The sequence below is a fragment of the Homo sapiens genome, chromosome 7 (genome assembly GCF_000001405.40).
Source record: "Homo sapiens chromosome 7, GRCh38.p14 Primary Assembly".
Taxonomy (NCBI): Eukaryota; Metazoa; Chordata; class Mammalia; order Primates; family Hominidae; genus Homo; species Homo sapiens.
Genome location: NC_000007.14, coordinates 154,824,458 through 154,849,608, shown reverse-complemented (window position 1 = coordinate 154,849,608; position 25,151 = coordinate 154,824,458). Strand labels below are relative to the sequence as shown.

General features: G+C 44.7%; 1 protein-coding gene and 1 long non-coding RNA gene across 13 annotated transcripts in view; one reads left to right on the top strand and one right to left on the bottom strand.

Moving 5' to 3' along the window:
* The window catches only part of LOC105375580 (uncharacterized), a 41,837-nt gene extending 17,975 nt beyond the window's left edge, over nt 1-23,862 (top strand). Inside the window, exons 3-4 of the long non-coding RNA XR_928190.3 lie at nt 15,908-16,074; nt 23,781-23,862. This is a non-coding gene — a long non-coding RNA (uncharacterized LOC105375580). The remainder of the gene's footprint in view (nt 1-15,907; nt 16,075-23,780) is intronic.
* DPP6 (dipeptidyl peptidase like 6) overlaps nt 1-25,151 on the bottom strand; it is a 1,146,153-nt gene that overhangs the window by 44,677 nt on the left and 1,076,325 nt on the right. The window lies entirely within an intron of this gene.

Below are 25,151 nucleotides of genomic sequence, written 5' to 3'. Positions count from 1 at the left end.
GATGACATGATCTTCTGTAAAGAGAACCATAAAGATTGCACCAAAGGAATGTTAGAACTGATGGACAAATTCAGTAAAGCTGCAGGTTACACAATGCAACACAAAAATCAGCAGTGTTTCTGTATACTAACAATGAACTATCTACAAGTAAATTAAGGAAACAATCCCATTTACAATGGCATCAAGAAAAAGATACTTAGGAATAAATTCAAGGAAGTAAAAAATATGTATACTGAATACTATAAAAATTGATGAAAGAAAATTGGAGACGACACAAATAAATGGAAAGATATCCCTTGTTCATGGATTGGAAGAACTAATATTGTTAAAATGTCCATACTACCAAAAGTGATTTGTAGATTCAATGCAATCTCTATCCAAATTTCAGTCATTCTTCATAGAAACAGAAGGAAATTGATTTTTTTCACAGAAAAATCCTAAAATTCATATGCAACCACAAAGACCCCAAATAGCCAAAGCAATCTTGTTCAAAAAGAATAAAACAGGAGGCATCACACCGCCTGATTTCAAAACGTATTACAAAGATGTAGTAATCAAAACAGCATAGTACTAACATAAAAACAGACACATCAACCAATGGAATAGGATAGAGAGCCCAGAAATAAACCAATTCATCTACAGTTAATTTATTTTTCACAAAGATGCCAAGGACACACACTGGGGAAAGGACAGTCTCTTCAATAAGTGGTGTTGGAAAAGCTGGCTATTCACATGCAGAAGGAGGAAACTGGACTCTTATCTCACTCCTTATACAATAATCAACTCAAAATCGATTAAAGACTTCAGTGTAAGACCTGAAATTGTAAAACTACTGGAAGAAAACATAGTGAAAAAGCTCCATGACATTGGTCTGGGCAATGATTCTTGGCTTGGACCCCAAAGACACAGGCAACAAAAGCAAAGCTAGGTGAACGGGATTGCATCATCCTAAATTTCTGCATAGCAAAGAAAGCAATTAATAGAGTGAAAAGACATTTCATGAATTGTGTTGAAAATACTGGCAAATCATATATCACATAAGGGGCTAATAACCAAAATATGTAAGGAATTCAAACTACTCAATAGCAAGAAAACAAACAACCCTATTAAAAATGGGCAAAGGACCTGAATTTGTCAAAGAAGACATGCAAATAGAAAATAGATACATGAAAAATATTCAGCATCACTAATCACTGGGGAAATGCAAATTAAAAGCACAATAAGATATCATCTCACACCTGTGAGAATGGCTATTATAAAGAAAAAAAAGCTAACAAGTGTCGGCAAGCATGTGGAGAAAAGGAAACCTTTATATGCTCTGGGGGGAAGGTAAATTAGTAAAACTATTTCATAAAACAATATGGTGGTTCCTCAAAAAAAAACTAAAAATAGAATTTCCCTATGATTCAGCCATCTCACTGCTGTGTAAAGATCCAAAGGAATTGAAATCAGGATGTTGAAGAGCTGTCTGTACTTCCATGTTTACTGCAGCACTATTCATAACAGTCCAGACATGGAGACAGCCTACCTGCCCAGCAACAGATGAATGTATTAAAACATAGGTACATATACACAGTGGAGAACTACTCAGTCTTAGAGATGAAAGGACTTGTGTCATTTGTGACAACACAGATGAATCTGGAAGACATTACGCTAAGTGAAATAAGCCAGGCATAGGAAGAGAAATGTCACATGATCTCACTTATATGTGGAATCTAAAAATGTTGATTTCGTAGAAACAAAGAGTAGAAAGATGGTTACCAGAGGCTGAAGTGAGGGGGCGGCAGGTGGGGAAAAGGGAGTTATCGGTCGAAGGGTACACAGTTTCAGTTAGACGGGAGGAATACCTTTTGGTGTCTATTGTACAGCATGGTGACTCTAGGTAATAATAATGCATTGTATATTTCAAAATTGCTAAAAGAGTGGAGTTTTAAATGTTTTCACCACAAAGAATGATAAATGCGTGAAGTGACAGATATGTTAATTAGCCTGATTTGATCATTCCACAATGTATATATGTATATAACATCACATTGTACCCAATAAATATATGCAATTATTAATGATGAATAAAAATGAAAGAGCCCCAAACCAAACAAAATAAAAGAATATGGGGAAAACAATAATAAATAAGTAGTGTTGAGTACAAAAAAAAACAAGACATAACAAATAGCTACGATGTCATTTGCATTCCTTCCCTAATCCCAGTCCTCTCTCGTCCCAGAAGTGACCATCATTTTGAAGTTAATGTTGATCATTTCTCTGCATATTTAAAAGATATTTCTACCACATGGCTATGTATTCATAATAATATACATGCCATATATAGTATGATATGACATGTCTCAATGTAACATATTTGGTACGGTCTTGACATCTAGTCTGGCCACTACAAGAGGGTGAAGCCGTGTTGGGGGTGTCAGTGGGCACAGCCACTCTGGAGAACAGCTTAGCAATATCCATGACATCTGAAGATGCTCATGCGTATGACCTGCGGGCTCCACTCCTGGGAACACATCTCAGAGCATCCTCTGCACCTGTGCACAAGAAGGCAGGCAGAAGATTGTTCCTAACAGCAACTATGTACAGGTCACAAATGGGAAATTACTCAGCTACTCATTAGCAGGAGATTAAATGAATAAAACGCAGTTACTCACATGGCAGAATATTATAGAGCATGCAGAATGAATTAGTAGATCTACACCTATCGACATGGGCCAACATGAAGATTATAAGGTTAAGCGAAAACATCTAGTAGCAGAAGGGTTAATACTATAATATACAATGATGTAAATAATTTTTAAAAGTTGTAAAACTTCATTTTTGAAGAGATGCATAGTATCCCATCATATGGAAATATAATAATTTATTGAGTCCATTGTCTGTCTACTGGTGGATATTTAGGTTGTTTCCTTTCATTTTCTGCTATCTTAAAACAGTGTTGCTGAAAAACCTCTTACATATATCTTTGCACACGGGTAAGACTGCATCTGTCGTTAAGCTAGTTGGTAGCACTGCAGTTGCTGTTTCAAAAAGGTTTTATAGTCAACGTTCATGAAATAATCTTGTGGTTTCAAACACATAACTCCTGACTCTCAATGGTGTGAAACAAGGAAGCTGACTTTCCGCTAATGTTGCGTCCTGGTAACCAGGTCTGCAGCAGCCCGGCTGTGCTCTGCTGGGCTATCCTCCAGGATGCGTCTTCTTTCTAGGATCCTGGTTGAAAGGTCAGCCTTCATCTGGAACAGGCTGAGCTCACAACAAAAGGAAATGAGCAAGGGGGGCTTGCAGAAATGCACGATGAAGGGGGAGAAAAGAATATAAATGTATTTGTTACCACTCCAATGGTAAAACTGGTAAATTATATATATATACCCACACATACATATAATTTATTTATATATATTTATATATACATTATATATGTATATTTTACCTCAATAAAAAATAAATTAAAAATAAATATTACCAAAAATAATTTGCATAACTAAAAAATGTCCTGGACATGGTGCAGTTCATGTCCACTCTCATGCTGTTGGCCGAGACTCATCCCATTGGTCCCAACAGAGCAGGGATGAGTCCGTATCTCCACAGAGGCCCTGCAGGCCACATGGCCATGTCATGCTGTTGGCCAAGACGCATCCCATTGGTCCCAACAGAGCAGGGATGAGTCTGTATCTCCACAGAGGCCCTGCAGGCCACATGGCCATGGGGTGGAGGATGATCTTTTTACAGGGAGGGGCTGTGAAACATGGGGAACAATAATACGGTCTACACTGAAAGTCGAAACAGTTCACATTTTAGTAAATATTGTCTAGTTGCTCTCCAACTGATAGTGTATGGAGATCTAGGTTGTATCTTAAAAAAGTTTTTAAAACCACTCTAATGGGTAAATGTTTGAATTTTTAGAAATTTTGAGTAAAGCTGGACATCTTTCTTTTTTATTATTATACTTTAAGTTCTAGGGTACATGTGCACAATGTGCAGGTTTGTTCCATATGTATACATGTGCCATGTTGGTGTGCTGCACCCATCAACTCGCCATTTACGTTACATATATCTCCTAATGCTATCCCTCCTCCCTTCCCCCTTGACATTTGCATTTCTCATAGGTTTTCCTGACTACAAACTGCCCTCTCTCATCCTTCGTCCACTTTAATGGCATTGCTGTTTTTTATGTTATTTAGAAGCTAATTGTTTCTTACCACGTTGCTGCAGGTATTTCTCCCGTGTGCTTTCTAATTTGTGATTGAAGAAAGTGCCATAAGTACCAATAATAGCAAGTGTCACACTGAGTTGCAATTTTAAAGCCATAGCTGCTCTGACCGTGTTCCAACCCCATCTCACACAGACAGAAAGACAAACACATTCTGAAATCCTTGGGCCACGAAGCCATGTCTCATCCCCTCCACCTGTTCTGAACCTTGGACTCAGCGTTGTATAAAAATGTTTGACGAACAGATTAATGGTTAATGAATGAATGACCTCCCAAGCTTATAATTGGCTATGACATATCAAGGTGGCAAATTTAAATCAGGCTAAGGAAAGGTCTCTCAAGACCATTCTTGGAGTCCTGGTTTTTCTAATTCAGGCTGTGGTCTCTCTGTTCGTACATAGGGAATCCCCTGCCCTTTTCACTAAGTTCCAAGGGTAGCAGTCTCCATGTCTAAGATCGGAATTATATTCTGTTTGTGAAGCCATATGACAACCAGGCCATCTTCACTGATATTTTAATATAGAATACTTCTTTACACTAGTGGAATACAAAGAACGTGAATAAAATTACATTTAAGGAGGCCACTAAACAAAAGTTGAAAAACAGCTCCTCTGTATAATTTTGTATCTGTTGATTCCTAATCCCAGGCAGTCTAACTGAGTCTCTGCCCTGAGATCAGACCCTCTGGTGGTCTGAGGTCGGCTCTGCAGGCCGCCTTCGCATCCGGTTTCTCTGGCCCAGGGGATGCATGCCCACTACTGTCTATGTGAACTGTAGGACCACCACAGGCCTCAAGGTTTCTGTGATGGCCCCTGAAAACTGGCAAATAATTCAGGAAAACATCTAAATCAAAATACAATTTCTCTAAATCAAAATACATTTTCTCCTAATAAGGAAACAGAAGCAGAATCCTAATTAGGAATCAGATACTCAAAATTTGTGCTACTTTGGCCAGACTAGACCCATGTTAGCATTTACCTAAGATTTCTAGAGAAGAGGGGACATGCCGAACACACGAAGAACATACACAGAATTTTGGGGAAGCTGGTACCATTCAAGAGGAACACTTTAAACCTATCTGAAACAACAGAGAATACTTTTACCAAGGACACCTATGAGGGGTTTTTACCACATTGGTTTTTTACTTGTTTTCCTCTTCTTCCAAATGATCTTATGCAAGTCTGGTCAGTAAAACTTATTAAATGATTTGTTTCATACAATAGGAAGCTTTTGCCCTTTTGTCTCTGATGCCTGTAAGACAATCCATCTGTATTGCCTTGGCACAGATTCTTGTGGCTAAACCTTAGGACTCCACTTAGCTGCTATTCTTCTGACAATTCATATTCATAGTTTCTTTTTTACTTTGCATGTAATTCAACAAATAGGTATTGAGATGCCACCATGTGCAAGGCATGGTGCTAGCTGCTGGGGAAACAGACAGAAATAGACAAAGCATTTACTCTTAGGGAGCTCAGAGTCCAGTACGGAAGACAGACTTGCATGAAAATACGCTTTGATGCCATGTGGCCAGTACAACCACCAGACGCGGTCCATGGTTCAGAGGTCTATGCGGGGACTCCTGTAAGTAAAGAAGGGGTCAGGGGACCAGCTATTTTGTGATTCCAGGTAAGCAGCTTTCCTTATCTGGATCTCAACTGCAGGATACAGGCTTGCTAAGGTCTACTTTTAGTAAGAGCAACAGCAGCTTCAGCAAAAACAACAGCAGCCAACATTTTTTTCCTACTATCTGCCTGGTACTGCACTCGGCTCTTAGAGACATTCTCTCAACCTCGTCACAACTCTCTGTGATGGGGATACCTTCCTCCAGAGATGAGAATTCCGTGGTCAGAATCTGCCTTTGCAATGTCAACATTTGCCATGGTCATGGGAAAGGATGGAAGCAGATGGTGTCTGCCTGTACCGACAAAGAGGTTCTGGTCTAAGTCTGAGGGAAAGGAAAGAAGAAAGAAAAGAGGCTGAGAACACGGGATTGCTTTTCTGTTTTTTTCCCAGCCAATATCTCTGGTATCTTTATGTTTAGGTCTAGTCTTGGAACATAGGATATGCTGTTATTTATATATTTATTTATTTAAGACAAGGTCTCGCTCTGTTGCCCAGGCTGGAGTACATTGGCACTATCTGGGCTCACTGCAACCTCTACTTCCCGGGCTCAAGTGATCCTCCCACCTCAACCTTCCAAGTAGCTGGGACTCCAGGCATGCGCCACCACGCCTGGCTAATTTTTGTATTTAGGATACGCTTTTAAATGAAAGCATACAATCATATTTCATTGTGAGTTCCTTCCTGGTTCAGGTCAAATATTAGATATCTGATTCTCTATGCATTTGTCTAATGACACACTCTTATGTGCGTGTTCCCAAATTCACGTGAACATATGCATCAGCAAAAACGTGTTCACTAGGATTCTCTCTGCCTGGTCCTCATATTTCCTAAGTCCTTGATAAATAAGCCTGCCTCGTGGCTGGTGCAGCCTTGGAGCATGCAACAACAGCCCTGATGTTCAAACTGAAATATACAATGGCACGCCTGCTGATAGCAGAAAACTGATGGTATCTGCTCAGCCTTTGCTTACGAAGAGATAACCGCAATAAAAACAACATTTGGCCCTTTAAAAACTTTGGTTGGTGACACACACTATTTTGGCTCAAGTTCAATATCTGACTTTCAAAATTTATATTGTTCCTGGAAGGGAAAATAAACAAATGGAAGCAAGTGAATTCACAACCCACATATAAGGTCGTTTTTGCCCTGTAAAGATCCTGTGACCAGAGGGACAAAAATAAAAAAAAAATCAGATTACCAAAAGAAAAGCTTTGAATTACACAACAGACTTGTGAACAGAAAATATTTATTTCTGTGTCTCTGGTTTGCAGCCCCAGGCATTTTAGAGCATTAGTTTTCACCTGCTCAACTGGAGGGAGAAATGTGACAATTCCAGAGGAAAACGAAGTAATTAAAAAGGACACAAAACTGTAAAAGAAAAAAGTCATCAGAATAAATAAAAAAAATTCATAAAGACAGGGCTTGTCTCCCTTCCTCTCGTCTGTATCCTCAGAGGATGTTTATGTGACAGATAATTTCCAACCAGCAGCTAAACTCCTAGTATGTAAACAATGGAGATTCAAACAGCCTGGCTGGCACCACTGATATCTCTTAAGCATTGGTGAATGGTTTCAAAGAACAGCTGTGAGCAGAGGCAGGCTCTGGCCGAGCGAGATAATTGGCATGGCCCGCTGCGAACAGGCTCCAGATCTCTTTATTTGCCCGTTCATGCATTATGCATGCCTGATGCATAAAGTTTATACATTGAGGTGATATTATCATACTAATAAACAGGGAGCTAGCCAAGCTACCAGAACTACTGCGGATAATTAAAATATTTGTTCCGAGGACAGCATTTCCTAGTCAACACTGCCGACAGGTTTTGTTGCCGTTTGATTTGGAAACCTTGTTATCGCTGACATCAAACCTGGGATTGAGGCTGTCCCCACCCCCTCCACTCCGTGCCCCACAGCATTTAGTTTTGCTTCAATCCAATTTTATGTGTCCAGGGAACTTGAAAGTGATCCTATTTCCCATACAGCAGTCCGAGGAGCGCGGCTCGAGGGGGGCCGTGGAAATGGATGGGTTGTTTTACACGCTCACAAAAGATGGGGAGGCAATGGCACGTTGACTTTTTATAGTCACAGGGAACCTCTTGCTCTAGAAATTACTAGTGACACTCAGGGCTCATGATAGGCATTTTGAATAAGGGAAACCTTCCCAATCATAAAAAAAAGAAGAAAAGAGAAGGTTCTCAGTACATTCCCAAAATTCAGCTCGTACCTTTGGGTAGTTGATTTGTAAAAGCCTTAGGGGTTAGGAATTATCTGCATTGAACTCACAGCATCAGTTTTATGCCCCTTGGAGTGACGTTTTCAGGTGTTTTACATGATTCACAGAATTCCAAGTATGAAAGAAGGAACTTAGTATTTCAGTTTTGTGCGCTGAGGCAAGCCTGCAGGGGGGCAAAGGCTACAGGGGGGCAAAGGCTACAGGGGGGCAAAGCCTGCAGAGGGGCAAAGCCTGCTTGGAGGGGTGGGCAAAAGCCTGCAGGGGAAAGGTACAGCGCCCACTGGCTGTTTCGTTCGCCCCGACTGAGCCCACAGCTAGACTGTGGATGGAGTGTCTGGCCCCACTTCCCGGCCTTCTCAGCATACTTCTCGCAGCTCCTGGTATGACCCTCGCCCTCAGATTGTCATAGCACTGAGCACAGTCTGCCATGTTGTAACTCAAAGTTCTGCAATGACTTTCGATCCGAGCAATTAAGTTCTGATTTGATTTCTAGTGATCTAGTTATGTCTTATCTCTTCAACTGTACTTGGAACATAGGAATCTATTTTGTACAACTTTGCATCCCACCTAGGAAAACGTACATTGACTCGTTAACAGCAAGTCGCCAATTGACAGTCGCCGATAGGATGAATGGGTGGATAACTCGCGGGTGGTGCACATTCCCTGGGAAGGTGAACACTTGGCAGAGTCAGTTCAGAGTTGGCGGCGCATTCTCTAGAATAGCCTCTAAATCGCCAGCTACCTGTGTTAGAGGTTAGCTTTGCTTTTGAAAAAGTGCACAAGATCATTGAAATGAAGTTTGGTAATGAAGGTATGATAAAATTCATGTTTAGGTAACGCTGCCAGCAGTTAAGCATACTAAGAAGTAAAAAGTTGTATATTCCGTATGAGTCTGGAACGTAAAAACAGTTTTACAAGAGGAAATCTAAAAACTTCCGAGCACATGCTCATCATGGGAATAAATGCTCAGCTTCCCGAGACAACGCTTGCGTGTACAAATTATGGTGTGTTGGGAAACTCAGGCTCCTTTTCATCAACAGAGTGAGCATGGAGTACATGGGAGTCCATCTTTGCTTTCACATCTGATCAGACCTGGACACGGGACAGGTCACTGTAGTGAGGAGGAGACTGGAAAGGCTTCCGCTTCCTGTGGATTCCTCAGTCTGCATGCAGGCTGAGGTTGCTGCCCATCCTCCTCTTTAGCCCCTGATGGTTGGTCCACCGTGTGACAGCAGAATGGAGGAATGTGGGTGGCACCTCGCCATGGCCACCTGCTGGGTGTGTGTCCTGAGGGTAGCGACTTCCATTCTCAGCTATCTGTAAGGTGGGAGATGTCACTACCTGCAAGCAATGGGGATGACCAGGTGGGCTGACCCATAAAGCTTCAGACACTTGGTGGGCGCTACCTGTGATACAAAATCACCTGCTTTTCTTTTTGGACTCGAGGATGTAGCGCAAGCAAACCCCGTTTTTTGAATGGAAGTCGTTCCACGCTCTGGCCTCTCTTAACCTCCACCCTTGATTCCTCATTAGTTCCTCTCACTGTGCCTGCTAAATACCTCCCATCTCCATGCTAATGTCCTCAGCGCTGTCCCCCACTCTCCTGCCCGAGGGTTTACAAAGAGTTGTGATGTGGCACTCCTCTGACTGGGACCTCCAGTTATTTCCACTGTCCAGAGGCTTAGGTTTAAACTCTTGACGTGAAATACAAGACCTCTGTAGACCTGACCTATCACACACTGTGGCCCAGCATTCTGGACTCCTCGTTCCTGCGTGGGGGCTGTGCTGTTCTTTGCCTGAGCACCCGCTCTTCCCTCCCAGTCTTCCTGCTAAACCTCTACATAGTGTTCAAGATTCAGCCCCAGCATCTTCTCTGTGATGGCTCTCTGCCTCCTCCCTCCTCTGTGGCACCACCGTAATAACAGTAATGGCAACAACAACGGTTAACAATCCCGCCCCGCTGATCATGTCCACAGTGTCCCAGTGCATTACATGCACAAACTCATTCATTCCTTAACGTAGCCCCAGGCAAGAGGCGCTACGTCCCCATTTCACAGAGGAATAAACAGGCACAGAACTGTAAGTGGTAACGCCAGCACTGGAAGCCAGGCACTTTGGCCACAGACTCAGTCCTCTACTGGGCTCCACTGGGCTCCGTTTGCTCCCTGTGTGAGTCTATGTCTTTATCACAAAGTAAAAGTAAACCTGAGTGTTCAGTGTTGGCTGCACCACTAGCTAGCTCAGTAGACTTGGGCAAGTTACTTGAATCAGCTGCTCTGTAGTTTCTTCATATGTGAAATGGGAATGATACCACCACTCATCTTAAAGAGCTGTTCTGAGCATCACATAGTAACACACATCAAATGCTTAGAATGTGCCATGCCCTCCTAACCCTTCAGTAGGTGTGTCTAGTATTGTTATTATTTGCATTCTTATCTGTATTTCTTGTTCTTATTACTATTTAATCAAGGAGCTATTAACATCCATTCACTCTGTTGCCTGGGGCTCTGTGGACGAATGGGCATATGGTGAGATGGTTGGTTGGTGAGGGTTAGTGGAAGACCCTTCAAGAAAGATAAGAAGCCCCAACAACAGGAGTATTCTTTTACTGAAACCCTGTTCACGATGAAAACTGGTCTGTTCTTAACACTTGTTCTTAGGTATGAGCCACTGGCATTCCTGCGCGCCAGTCTTCCATCCTCTTTTCCTCGAGGGACCCACCGGCCAACCAGATGTGCTGTTGTCCTGAGAACTGGCTCCACATTTTGTGAGATGTTTAAAGTCCAGGGAGGTCACTTATAAGGAGGCACCTCTGTTCTCCAGGTGCACACACAAAGCCTCCCGTTATCCGGTCTTGCACGTGCGTCCTTAGGGGCCAGCACCCTGGCTGCCTTCCAGAGTCTGCCCGGCTTTTCCATCCCATCTCTGCTCCCGAAGGCATCCCGCTGCGGTCCTGGGCATCTTGCACAGAAGCCCCTGCAAATACCTACTTACATAAGCCACGTACACGTTCTGTGCTATTCCACGGTGGCTCTTGGTGCAATTTGTTTTTATTTCCTGCAAGCAGACTTTTCTTATTACTTAACCTTTTTGGCCCCACATTTCTTTAATCTGCAAAATGTGGCAATGGAACCCGATCAGAGATCTTCAAAGCGAGTCCCCAGAGTCTCTTGAGAAGCCGCTATTTCCATATTGGGCTTCCCAGTAAGTTTCCTTTTGAAGAAGGGGCTCTGTGGCTTAAAACAAGTTTGAAAACATTTGGATTAGCGGATCTTGGAACTTCTTTCTGCTCTAACATTCTGTGAATCTAAAAACATTCCTGACATCGTCTAGCTGGAAGCTCTTAGTTCCATGAATTATTTAAGAATTATTTTACTGCTGTCATTATGCTTACTGTTTTCTCCTTGTATTCCTGTCCTCGTGAACACGGAGTGCCACCAACCAAACCTCAGGACCCGAGAAGCATCCTAACGTGGCTGCTGGGTCCCTGGAGTGCCCTGCAAGTGGAGACGCTGCCTACTCAGTTTTTAAACTAAATGAACAATTTTTAAAAAAATGTAAGATCGCTTGGGGGAATGTGAATATAAGAGTCTTATTTTCTTTGCTTTGAAATGGAAATGATAGAAAAGGAAGTGAGAAAAAAGAAATGAACACAGATGTTGGGTCTTGGCTAATCATTGTTCTAGAAAACCTCACCAATACTGGGGAAAGGAAAGAAATGAGCAATGATACTCATACTAATAGAGTAAACGTGGTTTAGTTTTCCCTCCATACCAGCTGTGGAAGTGAAAGAAATACAGAGATTTTGTCAGGTTTAAGTTGAAAGCGGAACACAAAGTCTCATTCTTTCAGAAGATAAAGGGCCACACTATACAAGACCAACTGAGGAAAAAGTAACAAGGAAGAGCGCCTCGCCCACCAGAAATTGCCACAAATTCTGTCACTGGCCCAGGGACAGAAAAATACTCCCATGCTGGTACCCACACTCTACCTGCCCCCACCCCCAGAGCTGGCTCAGCAGTGGGATGAACTGTGGCTCCTGGGCGCTCAATTCCAGCCCATCCCAAATGCACATCCCACGTGTGTGTGCGTGCATGCACGTGAATGTGTCTGTATGCATACACGTGTGAACATGCATGTATGCATGTGTGCGTGCATGTGTGAATGTGCCTGTATGCATGCATGTGTGCATGTGTGCATGTTATGCATGTGTGTGCATGTGTTTGTGTGCATGTGTGCATGCATGTGAATGTGCCTGCATGCGTGTGCATGTGTGTGCATGTGTGAATGTGCCTTATGCATGCGTGTGTGTGTGCATGTGTGTGCATGTGTGAATGTGCGTTATGCATGCATGCATCTGTGTATGCATGTGTTTGTGTGCATGTGTGTGCATGCATGTGTGAATGTGCCTGCATGCATGTGTGTGTGTGCATGCAGGTGTGTGAATAAGCACACATGTGTGAGTGCATGTGTACGTGCATGTTGGCCACAGACATGCCCACACCAGCCCAGGACTCATTACTAAAATTCAGGCTGGGTGCAGTGGCTCACTCCTGTAATCCCAGCACTTTGGGAGGCCGAGGCTGGCAGATCGCCTGAGGTCAGGAGTTCGAGACCAGCCTGGCCAACATGATGAAACCCTGTCTCTACTAAAAATACAAAAATTAGCTGGGCGTGGTGGCAGGCACCTGTAATCCCAGCTACTTGGGAGGCTGAGGCAGGAGGATCACTTGAACTGGGGAGGTGGACGTTTCAGTGAGCTTAGGTCACGCCATTGCACTCCAGCCTGGGTGACAAGAGCGAAACTCATCTCGAAAAGAGGTGAAATCAAAATCAAAATAAATAAAATTCACCCTTTCCAGTTTTTTTGTTGTTAAAATAAAATCTCTTCCTCCCAATTTCCTCCTCATTTTTTGTCATGTCAGTGAGCAATTAAGAATAATTTAAACAAAATTAATGATGTAAAACACCACAATGAAATATTTTTGTAACACATAATGAATGCTCTGTGGAGAGGAAGTGGAAATATAATTCGAACAGCCGCACAAGTGACAATTTTAATTACTTCTCTCCTGCTTTAATAACCGTGTTGTGAAAGTGCGACAGAACAGCTGTTCGATCTCAAAAACACCAGCCTCCAAACTGCACACTATTTTTATCTGGAGGCTCAGCTCCCCAGGTGGGTTGGGCATGGGTGAGGCAGTGCTGTGTGCTTCAGAAGAAAATACTGGCAGAAGAGAGAGAAGAAAACACGTCGACCAAATGCATATTTCCCCCAGCCAGGGGCCTCCCCTCCATGCAAGGGGCTGCATCTTCGAAGTGAAGCCTCCAGAACCAGAGATGCTTCTGAAAGCCGGGCGGCAGGCGGCGGGCAGGCAGGCAGCAGAAACAAGGCTCGCGGTAATTAAACAGAAGTGGGACCCAGAGATTAGGCCTCAGGCCAGCTTTGGTGCATCAGAAATGAGCGGAAGGTTTGGGAGCCTCGGAGGAACATTCCTGAAGGTCATAGTGTGCCTGAGGTGCTCATTACAGGGCCCACTGCTGGGACACAAACCGCTTTAAAATCACAGGAATCCTTTCCACCATCAGAAGCCGCTTTCTTAAACAAAGCAGCACTCACAGGCATATCAGGTGGAGGTTGTATTCCTTCCTTTTCATTGATTCTGAGACACCCCCAGCTGTAAGATGAACCACTGATTTATTAATCATAAGATTTTACAGAGATTGCCTAAGAGGCATTCTGATTTCAGAAAATGAAAATAGGAAAAGTGTGTCTTGGAAGCAAAGAATGGGCATTTTGTACACTCTGGGCTCTCAGCCTCTGAACTGCATCTGAATCACCCGGATGGCTTGTTAAAGTGGACACGGGTGGGCACCAGCCCTGTGTTTCTGACTCCATGGGTTTGTGATTGGGGCCTGAGAATGTGTGTCTCTAACAAAATCCAGCCACCAAAACACTTTGGGGTCCACTGCTCCAAGGTAGTGATTTAAAGCAAGCTCCTTGTCAGCTGGCCTTAAGTCAGAGAGGATTGTAGGTGGTTGAAGAAGGATTTGGAGGAGTAGGTACCTGGGGACTGGATCAGTTTCCTAAGGCTGTCCTAACAAGGTCCCACAGACCGGGCAGCTTAAAACAACAGAAATAGATTGTCTCACAGGTCTGGAGGCCAGAAGTCCGAGATGAAGGTGGGGGCAGGGCGGCAGCTCTTTCAGCTTCTGGTGGGGGCCATCAGTCCGCGGCTTGTCCTTCCTTTCCCTGCCTCTGACGTCGCACAGCAGCGTCTGCCTCCCGTGTCTGTCTCTTCTCCTCTTCTTGGAAGGCCACCCCTCGTATCAGATCCGGGGTCCATCCTACTCCAGTATGGCCTCACTTTAATTAGTTACATCTACAATGATCCTATTTCCTGGGCATTAGGACTTTAACACATTTTGTGGGGAAATAAGTCACAAAAGGGAGCTAGAGGTAGGTCTTAGGGTCCACTGCTCTAAGGTGATGTCAGAAGAGCTCCATTTGGTGCACACTGACCCTATACGTCTAAGTCATTCTCATTCTCCCTTTCCCTTACATATCATACTTAGACTGTATTTTCAGACACCCCCAAGCCAGCGAAATACGGCACAGAAGCAGTCACTATCACAACAAACCTTTGCAGGGCAGGGGTGCCCTGCGGCAGTGTCTCCTAGAGTCTTTCTCAGACCGTAGACAACTGGCCCCAAATCACATCAAGAGAAAAGGGGCTCTTCCAGTCGCTGGCCCACAAATGATAATCATTTCTGCAATGAATACATTCAACTTTACTTCTTTGCCGTGAACATCACGATCCCACAGCAGCGGAAGAGGCAGGGTCTAGTGAAGGTCTTGCACTTTACGCTTTAGCGCTTCTGCTCACCACCGTGCAACCCTAGTCTCCGAGTCTCCCTCTTCTCACATGTGAAATGTGAACAATAGTGTCGTTTCTAAAAGGTAAGTGACATAGATGCTCTTTGCAGTTCTTGGCCATTATTAGAGCGAAATAAATGGGAGCTGGTTTTTTTTGTTTTTGTTTTTGTTTTTGTTTTTCTTTGAGATGGAGTTTTGCTTTTGTCACCCAGGCTGGAGTGCAATGGCATGGTCTCAGCTCACTGCAACCTCCGCCTCCTGGGTTCAAGTGATTCCCCTGCCTCAGCCTCCTGAGTAGCTGGGATTACAGGCACGCACCACCACAACTGGCTAATTTTTTTTTTTTTTTGTATTTAGTAGAGACGAGGTTTCACCATGTTGGCTAGGCTGGTCTTGAACTCCTGACTTAAGGGGATCCGCCTGCCTCGGCCTCCCAAAGTGCTGGGATTACAGGAGTGAGCCACTGCACCCGGCTGGGAGCTGTTGTTAATAGTGTAAATATTCCTCAGTGGCAGCTGGGATTTCTAGGGAGACAGAGACAGATGCTAGCTTATGAGCTAGGGGAGGCTGAGTGTCCGCCCACCCTGGCAAGGCACAACTCATCATTGAGTTGTTTCTTCATCTTGTTTCTGTTTGGAAACGGTGCTGATGACCTCACTGGGCAGTGAGTACTCAGAGGACAGGCGTCCTTATTCTTGTCTGCGTGAAGATGAGCTACATCCGTGCAGCCCCGGGACCATCCAGGCCTAGCCCAGGCCTTCCATATCCAGTTCTGCTAAGGCCACCACCAACTCTTGTACCCAGAAAGAAAATAAAACTCCTTTGTCCACATAATTTTCCTTTGTCCTTAAATTTCCTTTGTCTATGAGAATCTTTGGTCATTTTAGTGTAATTTTTTGCACAGAATGGAAACTCATCAGCTGCTATTAACTGGTGGCTATGTGAATTTATGTTGCCAGGCATCGGAAACAAGAGGTGAATTCTCCCCATATGACAGGAAATTGGTGCAAATGACCAGAGCCCCCCACCTCTGAGATACGGAGTCAGAGTCGGAGCTACAATGACGGATGACATCAGCATCAATGTCAGCATCCCCTCCAGCATCACCACCGTCTACCAGCAACAGGTCCTGCTCTGAGTGTTTCAGATAATAAATAATTTACACTTCGTCAGCCGTACAAGGCTGGTACTACTATCCCAAATTTGTAGATGAGGCAGCCAAGGCACACAGAAGTCACTTCTTGCTCCTTCTCGATGAGGGGTTGTCTGCCTTTTCCTCCCCACACCCCATTTTTACCAGTTACCAAACACTCCTTTTCTTGGCTTCCTACAGCCCTTATGGTCTTTCTTAAACACCTTGCCATCCCATCCTCTGCCTTTGACTGTCCTCCTGCTGGCTGTGTGTGCCTGTCTCTACGACAATATGCTGGCAGGGCACTGGGACCCCGGGACCCTCACTCTTCTGCACTGCTCCTGTGTGCATCGGAGCCCAGGCTGCTTGCATGGCGTGAGTGAGATGCCTCCACTTAGCAGAGGTCTCAGCACGTGCTAGTCCCTTCCCCAAGCTTGGGTCCCTTGACTGGTTTCCCAATGGGATTCATTTTCCTAGACTTCAGGCTACTTGAGGGCAGGGCCTCTGTCCTCATCTCCACAAACTCAGCATTCTGCCTGGCATCTGCCAAATATTGGGTCCCAAAGAAAGACTTCTCGAACTGGAGGGCTCGATTCTCTGTGTCCCCACAGGGTAGTCTTGACATTGTCAGTTGTGGCAGTGGCGATGTGGTGTGTGGTTTACATGTTGGAGGCAACACCATTCCCTGGGAAGTTACCAGTCACTTGCAGAACCCATCACGGTCCTGCGAGGAGAAGCACAAATGTGCAGTACTGCAGTGCCCTCTTGTGTCTAGGACGTCACTAGGGTTCAACACACTTAGGTCTGTGGAGGAGATTTCTGGGACTGTGTCAGCAAAAATGTTGGTGTTTCCCTGTGCACAGGAGAGGGCAGAGCGCTGTTCACAGGCCCTGGGGTGTGCGGATGTGGGAGGAACTCTGGCTCTTGTGTGGGCTCAGCTCCTGATCAGCTGTGTGCCCTCGCGTGAGACGTAACGAGTGTCTTAATATTCTCATCTGTAAAATGGGTGGTGGCTTTGCTACTGGGAAGGGAGATGGTGAGCTCCTGGGCTTCCAGCAGCTTCCAGGCTCCCAATGGTATGACCCCATGATCGGTTGTTGGGTAGAGACTTCATGTGTGTCTGTCACTCCCCAGGTCTAGCACGATGCCTCTTCATGCAAATGCATACTTATCGTTGGTTCCAACAAAGTCCCTGGCACATGGATGTGGAATTCCTTGGGTCCTCCAGGCCCCAGAGCATGTCTCTGTCCCAGCATTGTCACAGTGAAGGACAGTCCTCCTGAGTACCTCTCTCTCCCTCCAACACAAGCCCCTCAAAAGCATCGATCTCAAGCACCCAGTTCGTTGCCTGGCATACGGCAGCCACTCAGGAACTGAGCCGAACGCATGAGGGAAAGAAGAGTCATAACCTGTTTTAGGGAAATGAAGTGCTGGTACAGTGGCTTCCTTGAAATTGTCACGAAGCTACTGAGAAAGAAATCAACCTGGCAGGGTTTTGCTTTCTCAGTAAGATGAATTGCATTCTTCTTTGCAAAGTCTCATAATACATTATTTCATGTGGGTTTAACTTGTGATGAAGGAGAGGGCCATAGAAGCCTATGTATTTTTGTAAAGATTTGTCAGAATCTCAAGCTAGCAGCTGACTATACACAGCTCAGTTCCTACTGGTGCTCTAACTGACAGGACAAGAGAGGAACTTTCTGACAATAAGTAAGGCCAGAGGAGGCGCAGATGTGGGTTTGATTCCTCAGTTACATGAATTGCAAAGAAACCCCGTGGTATATGAGTGGTTCCCAGGTCTCTGTAAGCTTTCTTGTCATGAAAAGGAAAACTTGATTATGGCTAATAAAATGCTCCCACTCATACTGAATGGGAAAATGTATCTGGATTGCCAAGTCTGATTTCAAGAGATTTTTTTTAAAAAGAAATAATGTTTGTAACATTCATAAACTGTCACGTCACCTGAAATTGCTACTTGCTGGGATGAGAAAATAAATTGCAGTAGAAATTAGCACAAAAATGCAAAGATGATGTGCAGAAAGTTTTCTTAAGAAGAATCAACATCCTTTCAGCAGCCTCCCTTTCTAAAACTTTTGCAATAAAGAGTTTTTTTTCCCCTTTTTAAATTTCTACCCAGCTCTGCCTAAATTCTAGGTAACCCTACATCAGTGGCCCCTGGAGTAGGGAGGGTCTCTACCACAGCACTGTGGCCTGTGTGGTCAACCGGTGATTGAAGATCTCATCAAAGCCACTCCGAGCCTCATGCATCTGGCTCCTGACTGCTATTGAAAGCCCTTGGTGGCAGGTGGCCTGGAGAGCTCTCCACAGTGGACGACTGGTCGTGGATTGGTGTGGATTCATCCTGTGTGGTCTCTTTGTCTTTCCAGATGGAGAGGTCTGTGGTCCTTTTTCTAAGGCAGGGCTGACGTTGGGGCAGGGTGGCTTCTGAGGGTGAAGGAGGGCACCCACTCACCGTGGGGATGACACGGTCACCTGGGCGTGGACGGTGAGAGGCAAGAACAGAGTCCGTGGTAGAGAATCCTGGAGAAGGTTCACAACTACAGCCATGCTGCGAGAATCGGTTCTGTGGCTGTCCAGCAATAATGGATGTAAACATCCAGTTCATCTACCAAAGGGATCTTAAGCCTGGTGATAGAATGAAGGAACTCATACTTGAAACATGAACTGGGCAGCAGCAGTTATCTGAGGGGTAGAAATGCAAATGCTTCCTCTCCACAGGGCGTGCACGGTGTGTGCTTGGAGGTGGCTTTCAAATGTGGACGTATAGATAGTAGAAATAGGCTGTGAGCAGCAACCCTGCAAGCCATCTGATCAAAATGAAGTACGATTAAGGCCGGGACAACCCAGGAGGCAGGTTCATGCCCTGATACTTGGTGCAGGTGCTACCCTTTGCTTAGAACCAGTTGGAGCTTTCTGTGTGGCAAACTTCCTTTTCTTCAAGAAACCACCTTGCTGGTAAGGTTTTTCCACTGGACAGTCAAATTGTTCTAGGGCTAGACAGTGGAATATTATTCACAATTATCTATGTCACAACGTTTATACAGCTCTACTTATCTCAATCTACCTTTCAGAACTGATTTTCCATTATTTTCCTTCAAGCGCTTCTTTGTTGGACCAAACTGCCCCCGGCATGGCCCCCCAGTCCCCCGAGTGGCTTCTGCCTCCTGGCCTGGCCCCGGCTCTGCCTCTTCCTGGAACTTGTGGCAATTAGTGGCTGAGCAGAGACCTTGTGAGAGCAATCGATAGACAGAGGAAGCCAGATGGAAAGGAGGTAAGGACCGAACAGGTGATCAGAAAAAAGGCAGCAGCGAATGTGGATTTTCAAGATGAAAAAGATAGAGACAGGAAAACGTGTTCAAAGGCATAGCTGGAAGACTCAAAAAAATCATCAAGATCACTTAATACTTGCTCAGGATATACTTACAAAGCTGATGTGAACCAGAGAATTTTAAAGGAAGGTGAGGATTTTGACGGCCTGAAAGTCTGGGAAGGAGCTATCGGGTGGTGAGAACGGCAGCGGCAAGAGCACAGCTGCGGGAGGGCACAGGCAGTCTCGAGACTTGAACAGCAAACAGAAAGGGCCCAGGGGTCTGTGCACCAGCATCACAGGAGGCACTTCTGGAAGGCTGACTTTCAATTGTGGAGGGCCCTAGATTCCACATGAGGAGCAGAGATGGTGTTTGGTGGTGGTGAAGGGTGGGAGGGCTTTGAGCAGGATGGAGGAAGCATCTTACCTATGGCAAGTGGTCTGCAGTTCCTCTTAGAATTACCAAGCTAATCACAGGAACCTCAAAGTTCCCATCTGGCTGAGACTGATGCTCTTGCGTATGATGCCAGCTAGCCCCCATCTGCTGAAAACCATCTAATTGTTGTTGGCCATTGAGCCGATATTACTCTTGCACTGACTCCCAATTTGCTTGGAAATTCAGTCCCTTTCCTGCTAATATCTTGGTCTGTTTTTCTTCTCTTTTTCCCTTCCTCCCTCTCTCCATTTTCCTTCCTTCCTTCCTTCCCTCCTTCTGTCCTTCTTCCCTCCCTCCTCCCTCCCCTCCCCACCATTCCCCTCCCCTCTCCTCCTCTCCTCCTCTCCTCCTCTCCCCCTCTTCTCTCCTTTCCTTTTTCTTTCTTATAGGGTCTCACTGTGTTGCCTAGGCTGGCTTGCAGTGGCACAATCACAGCTCACTGCAGCCTCGACCTCCCAGGTTCAAGCAATCCTTCTGCCTCAGCCTCTCAAGCAGCTGGGACTATGGGTGCATGACACCATGGCCAGCTAATTTTTGTATTTTTTGTAGAGACATGGTTTTGCCATGTTGCCCAGGCTGGTCTCAAACTCTTGAGCTCAAGCGATCCACCTGCCTCGGCCTCCCAGAGTGTTGGGATTACAGGCATGAGCCACTGCGCTCAGCCTCTTGGTCTGTTTTTCTTATTGTCTAGCATGTGGCAAATGCATTGGGTGTTTGAATAATATAAATATAAATGTGAATTATAATTAGGCATTTCAAAATACAATTATCTGCATTATTGATGATAGCATGACTTACAAAGGTACGAGACCGAGACTGTATTTGATGTTCAGGGCACTGTAAATAATTGAAAGTAGGGCTGAAAAACTAAAAAACAAATTCTGAGGTGTGTAGGCTACTGAGAGTTGACTCTGAAACAAAAGTCAGTATGCCACGATTTTAAGATTTATGGCCATCTTAAAGCTGAGCTAAGTGTAACCTGTTTACCTGGAAGATGGTCCTTGTGGAGGCATACTGACATCTGCATGGGTCAGAGCCCAGGGGAAACATGGTTAGATTTTGTGCCTGAACTATAATGATCATACTCTAGCATAATGACCTTCATGAAATAAATATACCGATTACTAGAACATGTACACATTCTATCTGCTTAGGTGTTTAATGTAGCCCGCTGGAATATATTAGAGAAGATGAAAATGTCTCAAATGGAGAAGAATAAACTAGGCAATGCCTTTTCTATCTGGCTTCTCATTTTCTTTAGCAGCTATTTCTTTAGAAAACTTTTTAAGTTTTTGAGAACAAGACTTTGTCATTTGCCGGTGGCTGCACGCTTGGTGACAGGGAAGAGCACTTTCCAACCTGAAGCTAGTGACCTTCACGCTCAATTCCTTTGCCAGGCACACAGTTTATTCATTTTTGTAAAATTTTATCTAATTAAAAAAAAAAGATTTTACAGCAACTTCAAACTTAAGGAAAGCTGCAAGTACAGGGCAAAGGACTTTGCCCCCTGAAGCATTTGAGAAGGAATCCCTGAGCTGATGCCCCATCTTCCCCAAATGCTCTTGGGGCTGTGTATCTCCCACGAATAAGGCGTTCTCCTCCAGAACCACAGCATTACCGTTACATTCAGGAAATTCACACAGGCGCACTCCTACAGGCTAATCTTCACACCCCATTCGAGTTCTGCAAATAGTCCCAGGAAGATTCAGCTGAAAGTTCAGCGCTGCGTTTAGAAAGACAGGGACTCACTCCACTCCCCCCAGTTCCAGTCCAGCACCACGCAGGTGTGCCTCCAGTTTCCACCTCCCCATATGTGTGACTTCCATCCCCAACAGGGAGAAACTGGGTTTTCATCTTCTTTACTGTTCTTACTTGATCTAGCTCCTGAGTCTAAGACATTTTCATCACCATCGCTGCTACCTCTCCTTGCAGACACCTTCTCCTCACTCCGCTTGGGATCTGACACCCCCCCACAGGACATCCTTTCTGGGAGACACCCCCTCCTCACTCCACTTGGGCTCCGACACCACCCCCCCCCCGCCAGCCGTCCTTTCTGGGAGACACCCCCTCCTCACTCTGCTTGGGCTGCGACACCACCCCCCTGCCAGCCGTCCTTTCTGGGAGACACCCCCTCCTCACTCTGCTTGGGCTTAAACACCCCCAGTGGGCCATCCTTTCCAAGAGACGCATCCCTTACTCTTAGGCTCTGATTTCCCACGACAGGCTGCCCCTCTGCGCAGACGCCCTCTCTTCCTGCCCAGGGCTGACTCCACAGCCCAGGTGCTCCCAGGCGGGCAGATGCCTCCACCTCCTGGCTTGAGCTCAGGCAGCCCATGCGGGGCTACTTCTCTGTGCAGATGCCCACCTGTCTTCACCCAGCTAAAGGCTTTGAGACTGAATTGGTCAGAAGAATAAAGAAGGGAAGGGAAGGGGAAGGGAGGAAAAGGGGAGGAGGAAGAGGGAAAAGAAACAGATAAGAAAGAGGATGAGAATGGGGAAGAGCTGATTGAGATGTTCAAAATCCAGTGGGTGTCTTCAAGTGTGTGTGTGTGTGTGTGTGTGTGTCTGGGAGGGGGTGGATTTCAGTGTAGATTATGTATCTCATATGCCCGTAACATCTGATTTAAAAATAGTTTATATTACCATTCTAAGTAGAAGCAAGTAATAAAAACTTCAGACACTTCTTGTCAACGTAGCTTAAACTATGTGCTAGGAGATGATGTCTACTATGATAGATGCTATGTTGTGTTTCTAGGTTCTCCATATTCATGTTCATGTTGTCTCACTCTGATGGACTTACAGCTACAAACTATGAAATAGTGGCTTTAAAAATGTGTTTAAAGTGGTGTATCATTCGACAGCTGTCTAACATTAACTAATACCTTCTTCTGGGCAAGAAAATTAATGAAAGTGAAAGCAGATGTAACATTTAGCCAGACGTCTCTGCTCATTTTTCTCTGCATGTGACTATTTTAAGCACATGGATGATCCTACTTTATCTCCATTAAGAGAAAAAGCTGCAGGCCTCTTTGGTCCCACATTTCCTGAAGAAAGCACTTTGTAAGGAGATTTTTCTAATTCATTTTTCGAATCTCTCCCTTCTCTGCCCTATTTAGGCTTTGTCGTTGCTGTTGGACAACAGTGCCGAGGAGAAGGTTGTTGTTCCATGTTTGATTTGTAGCTCTAGCACATAGAAACCCTCTCGATTTTCATCACTGGGAGGTTCTCAAGAAGCCTTTGGGTGTTGGTGGAGAAATGGACATCTTCCTCCTTGTGAATCTCCATGAGTCCGTAAAATAATAACCACTGAACAATTCAGCTAGGAGACAGTTGGGAAGATAACAAGGAAACTGGCCAAGGAATCAGGATTACAAAGGAAAATGTCACCCATGCTAATATTTTCAGGGAGTACATTTTTAATATGGGATATTGACCAAGAATATACACCCAATTTAATGTCTAGAAGATAAAGAGTGGTATAGGAAGACAGAGACTTTATCTAAAGCTAAGCCAACATTTCTTTTCTCAACAGTTACTTAAGACATATTTTGTGTCCATAAAACTCTTTGTTCCTATTTGAAGGCTTCAAATATTTATTAAACTCATACACTGTGCCAAACTCGGAATGTGCAGGATTGGAACTGCTCACAATCCTTATGATTAGTTGCAGCTCCCATTCTTGTAATGATCATGGGTTTGCGTTTGTGAAACGTAGGGTGAAGTAATTCCCTTCTGGACTGATTCCTCTGCAGTTACTCACTAGGATATAAGTTTCTGTGTGGTGGGATGAGTGGCTGGAACCACCATCTGCTACCTTCTCACCTAGATGTGAGCTAGCCCTGGTTTGAGAAGCTATAAAACTGGTGCTCATGAAACCAACAGGCCTTGTGAGAATAAATGTGTGACCCTGATCTTTGTTTTCTACCTTTCCCTTAGGGAATGTTGCAGGTTTGTTTCCTGTTCCTTCTCCACGTGCTGTGTGCCAAGCACAGAAAGCCTCAGTGACCAGCTACTGAATTAACCAGAATATGAATGAGAAGAATGACATTGGAGAAACAGCAGTGTGGCAGTTGGGGCACGGGAAGCAGTCCTGACCCCACTCTTAACTAGCCATGCGCAAGTCCTGGGCCCTGGCTTCCTCAACACTGAGGCAGCAAAAGCAGATTCAACAGTCACCACAACCCCTGTCGTGGCAGCATTCTCTTTTCCTCACATGGACAGATGCTCACGTCGGTGACGAAGGCACTGAGGTGCCAAAGAGCTTCCCAGAACATCAAGGGAAGACTGACTGACAGCTGGTAGAATAAGTGACAAATATCCCTTTTCTTGGAAGACAATTTATGCGTGCTGAAGTGGGAGAAATGTATTACTATGAACGCTGTCTTACTCAACTCTGTTGCATAGCTCAGAATTCAGTACAGGTAGATTTAAAATAGTCTTACATACAGAGCAGTTTAAAAAGTATTGTGGATTTCTGAGTGTCCAGGTTGGATCCTTGACACTTAAGCACATCCACTTCTGTTATGGCTCCCTCTGGCTACATAAGCTTTGGTGATTTCTTAATGACCAAGTGAGTAGCTTGTAAGCAAGGCTGAGAAACAGGAAGAAGTCCTCTTTGGCCATCTGGTATATTGATTCAAGTGAACACCACTCACTGGTCACCTGCGGACCAGATGTGGCCTGCAGGTGTTTCATTTCGCCAAAAGAAATATTTTTCAAATTGTAATGGGTTGTCAACATTTAAAAATCATATTTTTATATGGAAATATGGATTTAGTACTTCTGCTGAAATACTGGAAGAACTGGCAATCTAACAATTTCTGAATGGCAATGACTGACCAGAGCTGAGTCACAACGGTTCCTGTCAGAGACCGGGGGTTCTCTCCAGTGGCCTCCGTTATATGACACAAAGAGGGGTTCACTCATTTCCATTCCTTTCTGGCTGCAGTGGGCACCTGCGTTTGCCACCTTTCTCTTAAACAACAAGGAATTGCTGAAGCAGAAATGCACAGCCAGGGAAGCAGCTGATTTTCTCTCATCTTTTTCCTCCTCATTAGCATCAATAATTAAGTTTGGGACTGATTCTTTTTATGTCTTCATAGCTAAAGTAAAAACTTTTGTTAGGAGCTAGTAGATACTTCCCACCTCTTCTAATTCATTTTACTAAGCATTAAGATAACATTCCTGGATGGGCACGGTGGCTCCCACCTGTAATCCCAGCACTCTGGGAGGCTGAGGCAGGTGGATCACCTGAGGTCAGGAGTTTGAGACCAGCCTGGCCAACACGGTGAAACCCTGTCTCTACTA